This window comes from Homo sapiens, chromosome 21 (genome assembly GCF_000001405.40).
Source record: "Homo sapiens chromosome 21, GRCh38.p14 Primary Assembly".
NCBI classification, from domain to species: domain Eukaryota; kingdom Metazoa; phylum Chordata; class Mammalia; order Primates; family Hominidae; genus Homo; species Homo sapiens.
The window spans coordinates 41,974,702-41,986,830 of NC_000021.9; positions in this window are offsets into that span (position 1 = coordinate 41,974,702).

The window sequence follows — 12,129 nt, forward strand, 5'->3', positions numbered from 1 at the left end:
CCAAACCCTGCAGTTTCGTAAGAGCCCAGGGTTTTGAATGCACATTAAAATTTGGGAAGTCCTGTCCTAGGGCACTTTGCAGAAGATGCTTTTGACCGGGCTTGGGGCAGGGCAGCAGAGTTCTGTAAGGGAAAGGGTCTTCGATGAGAGAGGAGAGGAGGGACTCAAAGCACCTGCTGGGAACTGGGGAGGGTAAGGCAGGGGGAGGAGCCAGAAGACGCTGCCAGGTCTCATCCATGGGTGAGGGGTGACAAGCTTCATGGAAATGCAGGGTGGGGGGAAAAGGGGAGGGGGCGATGGGCTCTGCCTGGGGCTGCCCCATCTAAGGTGTCCATGGAGATAGGAAACCAGAGACGTTCACCGGGAGTGATTTTAGTGAATCCTTGCTTCCCTTGAGTCTTCACTGTTTTCCAAATCTTTACAAACCATCTGCTTAATGATTAGGTCTAGAATGTTCTTAGAGATCACTGTCAACATTACCAGACTGAAATTTCTGGAGTCATCTTGTAGACAGTTGGGATATTTATGTTTTCCCCTTTCATTTGCAACTTATATTAAGGTCCCTGCATGGGGCCCCAGTAAATAGCACCCATCTTCCTCACTTGGGTGCTGGAGATGTTAGATATTGGATAAGTTGAATAAGCTGAGTGAAGTAATGAGTACCCAGGGAGCAAACTGTCACGATTTGTCCTGTGAAGGTAAGTTGAGGATGCAGCCTGAGATCTCCTGGTCAAGTTGGGTTGTGAATCGGGTAGATCTAGGCACCCAAGCACTGGCAGGGCTGATGGGGCCGACGGGCTTTCTGCAGGCAGCAGATTCCTAACCATGCCCATCAAATATTCTTCCAGAACTCCTCCTAGGAGCAGGGTAGCCTGGGGTCACTGGAGGCCAGGAGATGGGTGATTAGAGCCCCTGTCCCAAGGAGACGTGGGGTTGGGGGATGCTTTTCCGCTACTCACCTGACTTCTAGATGAAGGTCGGGTGTGTGGTGGGAAAGTTCGCCACACCTGCAAGCTCTGGCAGCATTTCATGCAGGTCCACCTGGGCCCAAAGGCCTGGCCCTAGCAGCATCTGAAGGCATCCCGGTTCTCTAGTCTCTGCCCCACTCTGGTCCCTGCAGACTGATTTTACCTTGTGCACCGCTGTCTTTAGTGAGGAGATTATGAGCAAAGTCAGAATAGAGGATGGAAGCCCTGAGCTCCAAGGACGGCTGTCCCCAAGCTCCTGACCCTGAGGAGACACATGTGCTGCGTGCTGGGCACTGGATAGTCCTGGTCGTCTCCAGCTGGTCCTAGGATCTTGGACAAGTCTCCATCATCCTGGAGCCCTGCAGGGCCCTCCTGAGGCAATGGGGGCCCAGCTGCCCTTGGGACTCCTCCAGCCGCCGCTCTCCAGGGTCCTGTCCTCTGCTTCTCTCAGGCCAGTGTGGGCAGCACCTGCCAAGCCCTGCTGCTCTCGGCCACCTCCCGGCTAGGAACATGTGCTTGGGCCTCCACCTGTTGATTTTTGAAAAATTATTATTTTTATTATTTTCTATTTTCTTTTTTTTTTTTCTGAGACGGAGTCTCACTCTGTCGCCCAGGTTGGAGTGCAGTACCACGATCTCAGCTCACTGCAACCTCCGCTTCCCGGGTTCACGCCATTCTCCTGCCTCAGCCTCGGAGTAGCTGGGATTACAGGCGCCTGCCACCATGCCTGGCTAATTCTTTGTATTTTTAGTAGAGATGGGGTTTCACTGTGTTAGCCAGGATGGTCTCCATCTCCTGACCTCGTGATCCACCCACCTCGGCCTCCCAAAGTGCTGGGATGACAGGCGTGAGCCACCGCGCCCAGCCGTAAAATTATTATTTTTTTAAAGCAGTTTGTGAAATCCCTGAAAAGTCAACTTTCTCATCTGAAGAAACACAGTGAATGTTATGGAACTCCTCACCATCTGATGAGGCCATTTGGAACTTGATCAGTGTTTTTCAAATTTGCCTAACCAAGAATAACCAAGGTGTTGGTTAAAAATGCAGCCCCCAGGCTCTCCGGGGGGAGGACAATGAATCGTTTAACACGGCTGCTCAGTGTGGGCCTGCTTCCAGCAGCCTGGGCTTGGCCTGGGCACTTGTTAGAAATGCAGACTCCTGGGCCCCGGCCAGGCCTGAGAAAGCACAACTGCCCCGTAGCAAGCTCCCCGGGGGGTTCCGGCCACTTGGAAGTTTAAGAACAGGCCTTGATTGATCAGCGGTTCTCAATCTTGGCTGTATATTAAAATTTATTGGAAACATCCAAAGAGTTAACAAAATTTTCTCATGTTTGGGGCTTACCCTGAGAAATTCTGGTTGGTCCGCAATGAGGCTGGGCACACAAATACCCTATATTTACTTGTAAGGTATTTTATTTTAGTATAATATATGTAAAGAAACGGGCGTATATCATGTGTTCAGCTCAGTGAGTTCTCTCCAGTGGGTCAAACCTGTGTAACCAGAACAGGAATGGGAAGGTGACCAGCACCCAGGACCCCTATACTGCCTCCAGTCGAGACCCCTGGCACCCACCAAAGATAACCATGTATTGACTCCTTACGGCATATGTGTTTCTGCCTGTTTTTGTTCCTTACACAACAGAATCATGCAGCAAACACTCTTCTGTGTCTGTCTTTTGCTCACTAGGTGTGGGACACAGCATGTGGCTTATCCACACTCCCTGCCCAGCAGAAGTCATTGTGTGAACACACCTGTCTATCCCTCTGTACTGCTGTTGATGGGCACTGGATGGTTGGCACTGTGGGGCTATTATGAATACGGCAACTTGTGTCTCGACAGCTCCCCTAGGGACTTTATGTAGAGCCAGGTTTGCCACGGGATGCCACCACACCTGCTGGACACCGCCTGTACCTTTGTGGTAACCTGGGGCCCTTTCCCGTCAGCTCCACCTTCAGAGGCCACCGAGTTACTGTGGCAGCTACTGCTTCATCTTTGTGTCCTGCCACCCAAGGATGACAAATGGCCACATCCAGAAGCCCCCGCATTCTTCCAGGATAGCGGGAGCCGCAGGGTATTTAAAGTTCTGCCTCACTTTCTTTCAGTCACACTCAAGGGATTTGAAGAACACTGCCTTACGCACTGGCCCAAGAGTCGCCAGGCATCTGGCCAGGGAACGGGCTGCAGTGGGATACCCTGCCCAGGCTCCCTGCTGCCAGGAAGCTGACGCTTCCAAACAGAGATGGGTGAGGGGAGTGAGGTACCTGTCTGGGTGTAAAATGGAAGAGGATGCCGGAAACTCAGTAATCAAGATAAATATTTTAATGTAATATTAGAAAAAATCAAAATTAATGCAAAACTTCCATTATGAACAAAAAACCCCATCATTTTAACTAAAGACCAGTGCTGAGCTGAGCCACACTGGATCATAGGCAAAAGGAAAGATGTGCACCCCTATACGTATGTTTTATATTTTGAATGGTTTTGTTTTATTCTAGAACATTAAAGAAGTTGAAAAATCTTGAAAAACAGAAAAGTAGGTAACATTATCATAACATTGTTTCAGGTTTAAATATTTTACTAACACTGTAAACAAATTTATTATAATTTTGTTTTTCTGGCTTTAATGGAAACAAACTCATCAATAGCATTGTCAACATCTACTTCTTTGTGTGTCTCATTTTCTTTTCTTTTTTTTTTTTTTTTTTTGAGATGAGGCCTCATTCTGTTGCCCAGGATGGAGTGCAATGGCCTGATCTCGACTCACTGCAACCTCTGCTTCCTGGGTTCAAGCGGTTCTCCTGTCTCAGCCTCCTGAGTAGCTGGGATTAAAGACGTGTGCCACCACACCAGACTAATTTTTGTATTTTCAGTAGAGACAGGGTTTCGCCATATTGGCCAGGCTGGTCTTGAACTCCTGACTTCAGGTGATCTACCTGCCTCGGCCTCCCAAAGTGCTGGGATTACAGGCGTGAGATAAACCAGGCCACGCTTACCTCATTTTCAATTCAGATAGCTGCTATATTTGATAATTTCTCTTGACCAACTGATGATCTCAAATCATTTTAAGTTCATATATTATTTTCAATATTAATAACATTAAGTATGAAGTATTTCAATAGCATTAAAAATTAAAGTGTCACTTGATTAAGAGATATTACAAGTGACAATCTCTCATTAACATTAAATATTATCAAATATTAATATTAAATAATACAAAATATTTACAGTTTTACTAACATTAAAATGATTTAACACTGGGAGGCTGAAGCAAGAGGGTCACTTGAACCCAAGAGTTCAAGGCTGAAATGTAGTAAGACTGCACCAGTGACTAGCCATTGCACTCCAGCTCAGGTGACATGGCAAGACCCTGTCTCTAAAAACAAATAAATAAATAAAATAATTTAAAATTTATCACTTCATTGCCTGGGGTCCTATTGCCTGGAGAACTATTGGTTTACATATTTTATCTGCTGTTTTAATTGTTTTAGGTAGGAAGGCATATGCTGTCTTTGTTACTCTATCTTGGTCAGAGCAGAAATCCCCCATAACTCTGAACTTTTCCTTCATATTTTCGATCCTGTCTTGGCTCATTCTGTGTAATTTTTTCCTGATATATCTGCTTCTTCATTAGTTCTCTGCAGTCATATGCAATCTATTCTTTAACTCATTCATTGAGATTTTTTACTTAAAACCTCTTTTCTTTTTTAGAAATTCCATTTGTTCCTTTCTCAAATCTGCCTGTTCAGTACTGATAGTGTCCAATTACTTGTCATCTTATTGTTTCATGTTTCATTTATTTAAACGTTTCATAAGTATCTGCTGTGTACCTGGCACATGACAGTGGTGATGTCAGCCGTCTCTGATGGTCTAGTTCTGTTGCTGGTTGTTTCTGCTGACTCTCATTCAAGGGGTTGCTTGCCTGCTCATGTGTTGAGTGTGAGCCCTTGGCTCGATCTGCTGGAATCATGAAAGTCTAAATTTGTGGTGCTTTCACAAATACAATTGTTGTTGGATTCACTGCAAACCACAGGTGTCACGGACTTGAAACCATGAGTTGGGGAACCCCAAGACCAACCCTGGGTTCAATGATTGGCTAGGAGGACTCACAGGACTTGGTAGAGAGTTGCACTGATGGGTGTGACTGATTACAGTAAAAGGACACAAGGCAAAATCAGCAAAGGAAAAAAAGGGCATGAAATCTGAAAGAAACCAGGAGCAAGCTTCCAAGAGCCCTCTCATAGTGAAGTCACACAGGATGCATTTAATTCCTTCAGGAACTACTTGTGGCAACATGAATGAGACATTGCCCCCAGGGAAGCTCGTTAGAGACTTGGTGCCAGGGTCGTTACTGGGGGCTAGTCATATAGGTGTCTTCTGCCCAGGACGCATCAACATTCCAGACTCTTGGAAGGAAAGCGGCTGTTCAGCATGAAGTGTATGGTTTGTACACGTTTAGGCGCAGTAAGCCACTGGGTTTATCAGGGACAGTGAGAACCTCCCCAAATCCAAGTTCCTAGATGCCAGGCAAGACCTAACCTTGCCTCCTCTCCCAGGAGAGCTGTGGTTACTCTTCTCTGTACACCTTGTCAGTCCCCACCCACCTTGCAGGGTCCCGATTCAATGTGGGTGTCACAGGCTCAACTCCCCTACTTTGTCAGTGTGCCCAGACAGTGACACTAGGAGTGTCCACCATCAGGTCACTGAGCTCTGCCTAGCTCAAGAGTTTTGTTGGCTTCTTGGAGGTAAGTTGAGGAAGGGCTTGGAAAACTCCCTACTCTTATAAGTCTGGCATTCATCAAAAAGTGTGTTTTGTCAAGAATCTGAGTGCTTCTCAGAGCACCTAATTCATCCTGTGTCAGCTATAAAAGCCCCTTATTTTTTAGAGGATAAAAAAAATGTCAATAAGAATTCATAGTCACAGTTATCCAGGCTAAAAAATACACATGAATGTTGGGAGGTTGTCATCCACTGGACAACTTTTCCAACAGAAACTTTAGAACCCCAAGTTTCCATTTATCTCTATTGGAATCTGTTTCTCCCTGCTGGCTGCATGCCTGCTTCATTTCTTCCTTTAATCAGGGCCAACTTATTCATTAGGCACAGGAGACAAAGTGCTTAGAGCCCCTGGCACTTTTAAGGAACCATAAATTTTTTTTAATGGACCACAATGTTTTAGTTTATTTTAAAATCAGAAGGAAAAAAATGAGTTGTTAGGGGTTGAAGAAAAGTTTATTTTTAATACAGCTTGGATTATATTTGCCCTTATATCAATGTAGTTGCAAAATATGACTTTGTATATATTTTGTGGAGGAAGTGTGTCCCCAAAGTGTCTAGGGCCCACAAGAGTTATGATGCGACCCTGCCTTCATGGTATTAAAAAAAAAAAAAAAAACTAAAACCACTTACTGGGGACATAATATGCTCCTAGACCTGTGTCCTAGCATTGGCAATGGAAATATGGTTATTCCAAATAACAGAAATAACAGAATTTCCAAATTGTATAAATTTTAATATTTTTCCTGAGCTCTGGTAACTCTTCAACTATAACTCTTTGGATCATCAAGTAAGTTTCCAGCGAAAGAGCTTTAGCTCCTCAATTATTGGTAGCCTTTTCTTAGTGACAGGCTAGAGATTTTTCCAAACTATTCACTCTGACAAATCAGGAAAAGCTCCCACTCAATGTTTCTAAAATAATATGGCTGTGTAGGGGCTAGACATGAAGCCTAACACTTCTTAGAGGACCAACAGCAGTTGATGTAAATCATTTTATTTAAAGGGCTAGTAAGTTATTTTGTACTTAATGCTTTCACCTAACAACAAGTCAGACAGACATGTTATTTTTATAACATCAAACTTATACATTATTCAGTAATCTATCTTTGGTCTTTGGTTTTGTGAACAGAAACTGGCTCTTTTGTTCCATGAACTCCACTTGGAAACCCAACTTTCATGCCCGTGAAAACCTACTTTTAAATAATAATGGGGACCCTCAGAACAAAATCTCTGCTTCCTTACACACCAATTTCTGTTTCAAGTGGTAGAAATAAAGTTTGCATCCTAACTTCCTGATGTCTTTATCACATGAGAGAAAAGATCTAGTGTTTCTGCCATTTTAACTACATATCATCGGTCACCAAAAACACTGAGAACCCAAAGCAATGGCTCTTCCTCCAGCCATCAAGCTGGACACCACCCCAGCCTGGTTTTGTAGAGTCCATCCTTGCCACCCAGGTCATCTGAAGACCTGGCCAAGGGAAAGGGCTAATGGCAGATTATGACCCATTATCAGCTTATAAAATCCACATACTGGATTGTGACCAAGGTTTTTCACTGTGAATGAATAAAATAGGCAGATTTACTGTGAAGCTGAAGTTCCAGGTGCCTCAGTTGTCAGGAAATTTCCAGGTCATAAATATCTCACTATTTTATAATTTGTAATATTTTATGGCTTTGTAAAACTGTGACCGTGCATATACCAAACAGGAGAGAGATGCCTGTCTCTTTCCATCCTGACCTTCTCTCCCATAATTTCTTTCATGATGGTTGCTGCTAAAGTGACCATAGGCTTTTTCAGACCTGACTAAAGGTGAGTTGAGGAGGAGATAAAGTTCATCTGAATTTAGTGAGATGTGTGTAATTTTTTTTTTAAGTTTGAGAAAATCTCTACTGAGTTCTTTCATAAATAAGCTGCTTAGAATTTGGGAGAATTTTCCACTGGCAAACTTCTGGCATAGCATCCCCAGACATACAGGGCTAGGTGCTTTAGGACATATTAGCTAACTTATCCATGACAAAATAACAAGTTCATTTCCACTTCTGGGCAAGATGAAATCATAGAGCCTTGATTTTCCATCTTGCGTGAAATGACTAAATTCCAGACAAAGCATATGAGTGATTTTCAAAACACTGAACATAAGGCAACAAAGAACAGTGATCACCGGGAGATGAGAAAGAGATGGGATAAACCAGCAGTGTTCCTGAGTTGAGGAGATGGAGCTGGGAGTCCAGGAAGGGAAAGGCGGCTAGGGTTCTAAGCATAGTGTGCTGGAAAAGGGAAAGCCTGAGAGTGAGCGAGCGCGCGCGCGAATGAACAAGAACGAACTCTGGAGGTCTGCAGAGAGGTCCCTTGACTCTTCAACATGTAAGGAAACTTCTTGAAGCTGGTTAAAAAAAAAAAGCAAACAAACAAAAAAACTCAACAAAACACATAAGCATTAGAAGGAACAATCCCTGGAGTTCATACAGTGCTTGAAGTAATTCAAGGGCATTGAGTACAGGGGGTGTACTTGCCTCAGTAACGGAACAAAATTAGCCCGCATTTAAATTCTGCTCTGATCCCATTTAATACCATTTAAAAGCAAAACCTGGATAAAATGGTTTCCAAGTAAGTTAATTACATCCCCCCAATAAAGCTCCAGAATATTTATAGAAATACAAAAACAACCAGCACCCATGGGGTAAAGTTCACAATGTCTGCAATTCAACAAAACATTACCAGACATGCCAAGAGGAAACAAAAAGGTACCCAGAATGAGGAGAAAAATACATCAATTTAAAACAAACCTAGAAATGGAGTAGATGATAGAATTAGTAGTCAAGGACATTATAAAGGTGTTCTAACTGTATCCCATATGGTAAAGAAGCCGGAGAAAAGATGGAATGTGTTAAGTAGATACATAGAATATATACCTAAAATTCAAATCAAACTTCTAGAGATGAAAACTACACATCTGAAATGAAAAATACACCAGATGGCATCAGTGGCAGATTAGACATTGCAGCAGGTTAGTGAACTAGAAGACATAACAATAGAAACTATCCAAAAGGAAACACAGAGAAAAAAGAGAACAATGCACCAGAACAATAGTGATTTCTGAGACAATTTCAAATGGCCTAATATAAGGTCATGCATCCTAATCAAATTGCATAAAACTGGTAATAAAGAGAACTTTAAAAAAGCAGCCAGAGTAAAAAAGACATACTGTATACAGAGGAACAAAGGTAAGGACAGCAGGATTTCTCACTGGAAATAAAGCTAGAAACAGTGAGCAACATATTTTAAGCACCACAAGAAAAAAAAGCTATCTAGAATTCCATGCCCATCAAAAATAGCTTTCAAGGTTGGCAAAATAAATATTTTTTAGATATACCTGAGCTGAAAGAACCCAGCATCAGTAGACCTACACTAAAAGAAATGTTAATGTCTTTTGAGCAGAAGTAAAATGATATCACAGGAAACTTGAATCTGCAGGCAAAATAATGAGTACCAGAAATGGAAACTTACATAGGTAACTATAAAGACTTTTTTTAATTAAATATCTTTAAAAGACAATTGACCATTTAAAGCAAAAATAATAACAATGTATTTTGGAGCTTATTACATATACAAAAATAAAATGGCTGGTTTCAGGGCTCTGGCAGGGAAAGAGGGAGATGAGTCTGGAACATCTTGTTGTGCCAGAAATTAAGAAAAAAAAACCTCAGGCTCTTTAAGCATTTTTCTTACTTTGCTGAGAGGATATGTCAAAGCTTGCAGCAGCCTGGTCTGAAACTCCTACTAAATTTAGGATAATTTGAACATCAAAAAAATAAAAAAGGTGGCAACTGATTAGAAACCATTGAACAGAATAGGAATCTATGAATCCACAACACATACACATGTAAATTAGTAAGTTAATGGGAATTACAGAACATTTTTTTCCTTGCAGTAGAAAGCCCACAAATAAATGAAGAGGGAACGATGGATGAGAAAACCTCCATTTGGCAACAACTGTAAAAATAAATTAATTCAGGCAAGGAACATCAAGAGATGCTAAAATTAGTGGGTAGAATTGAGATGAGGAGTAGAATTTTACATAGTCTCAAAATATCTCCCCACAAAATACTTATTAACTACAAATGGGGGCAAACATAGTGGAGACGTTGGCAGAAGTCCACCTTAGTCAAAGGATTAAAATGAATGCCATCAGCAACAGGGCATACAGGCATCAGATGCCATCCATAGGTTGAAATGAAGAGAATAGAGCTTCTGTATATTTTGACCCCAAAACGCATAGTGATGGTCCAGTCATGAGGAAGCATGGGACAAACTCCAAGTAAGAAACACTCTACAAAATGACTGGTTCACAGTCTTCCAAATGATCAAGGCCAAAAAAGCCAGAGAGAATAAGGAATATTCCAGACTGCAGGAGACTGGGATACCTGAGAATGGGGAATGGGAGTAAAAAGAAAAACAAGTCTGTTAATGGTTTACAAATACCACCACACACCTGTACAGTGCTTCACACACAATAAGCACTCAGAATTAGTTACTATTCCTTTTCTTAGGTTTACTGATGAGTTTATTAGGCAACTTTCCATACTTGGGTGTCCTAAGGGGGACCTTGGCAGTGCCAAGGATGCACATGGATTGTCACACATCCAGAACAATCACAGCAGCACAGAGTGCCCGGGATTCACAAAGTTCCAGGAACTTGTCAATCTAACACCAGCCATTCAAACATTTCCATTCTCCCTTGGGCTTACTGAGAATCACATGAAATTAAAATACACTATGGATCTCTGTGTAGGTGAAATCAAAATCTGGAGACCATTTGCAGAGATCTTCACTAACTTTCCTATATTAGCTAAAAATAAATTGGTTGACTGTTGCCTCAGACAAAATTTCTTTGCTGTATTTATCAAATACTTAATAGGCACCTTCCCTTTGCCAGGTCCTGGAAACACAAGAATAGCCCCTATCCCTGGGTCCCTCCTAGTCTAGCAGGATAAACCACACGCAGATGAAACAGAAAGTAATAAGTCAAATGACAGGCCGATATCAGGGTGTTATGGGGAACACTTAGGAGGGGCAACTGCCGTGGGCTGGGGTGAAGAGCACCTGGAAAGGGACCAGGAAGTATTTTCTGGAGGAAATGATGCCAACCACAAGTGGGATTTAAGACACTGCACAAAAGGCAGACTTGCATTATCATGAGGTGGATGAGCTGACCAAGGGCTCTCCTGTGGAGGACGGGGTCTGATGGCCAATAGCATGATACCCAAATTCATGCTGCAGCAGGGTTTCCCCATGCTGTATTTGTAAAGTGCCTCTATGACAATATGGCAAATCTCACACATACACCATGTATGAGGAACACCTGCCACTCAACTTTCCAAGTTCATAGAACTCAAGTTCATAAGAACTGAGCCAAGATTTTGCCTCTGGCTGGGGAAAATATTAAACACTGGGGACATGATTTTGCCACCACACTATTTACTGTCTTGAGTATGTGCCAAAGATTGAGAGGATGCAAAGGAGTGCAGCAATCCCAAACCTCACAAAGCCTGTTATTGCTAAAAAAAAAAAAAAAAAAAAAAAGGGAAACCTAAAAACAATAAAAAGAAAATAAAACCACCACCAATAATTGGTGACGAATTGAATAACAGGGTTAAAGCAGAAGGTTTATATATATATATATAAAATTTGTTCCTGGTACAGTGTGTTCCAGACACTTTGGGCAGAGGCTCCCGAGAAAGGCTAGTTTAGGATATCAGCAAAGGAAAACAGAACTGTCAGAAGCCAAGAAGTACGAGTCCAAGCAGGTGAGAATCAGCACTGATCAAACCACTGTGGGTCTCTGTACCTTCTAATTCTTTATTTTCCAGTCAGCTTGGTAGCATTAACTTGATTATCTACAGTTCAGCTGTTCACGTTACAGGGAGAGCTAATAAAATTTTTAAAAATGATATACCCCGGTTTTACAGAAAAACCTCATTAGAATGAAAAAAAAAAGCTATGACATTAAATTCTTTAGATTATCAAATAAAACTGGTTTATCAACTGCTATGCAGAAATATCAATGCAGGGTACTTAAAAATGTTATTTTTCTGCATTTACCCCCCTGCCCCATCAACTTAAAAACTACCAGTTCGAATAGTAAAGGAAATGGCAGATGAGCAAAGATGGTTGCCTATCTGGTTTTAATCATCGTATTTGCGATGCCCAAATAACTAAAGCTTTAATACAACCTTAATTCTATAAGCAACCTGGAACGGGGGAAAATTAAATCTCTCACAGCTATTCACATTACCCAAATAGGAAGATTTTAACTTTACTTTCACAAATGTAAATGCTACACCCGGTTACTATCAAAGTACAGGGCATACCATTGAGACTGAC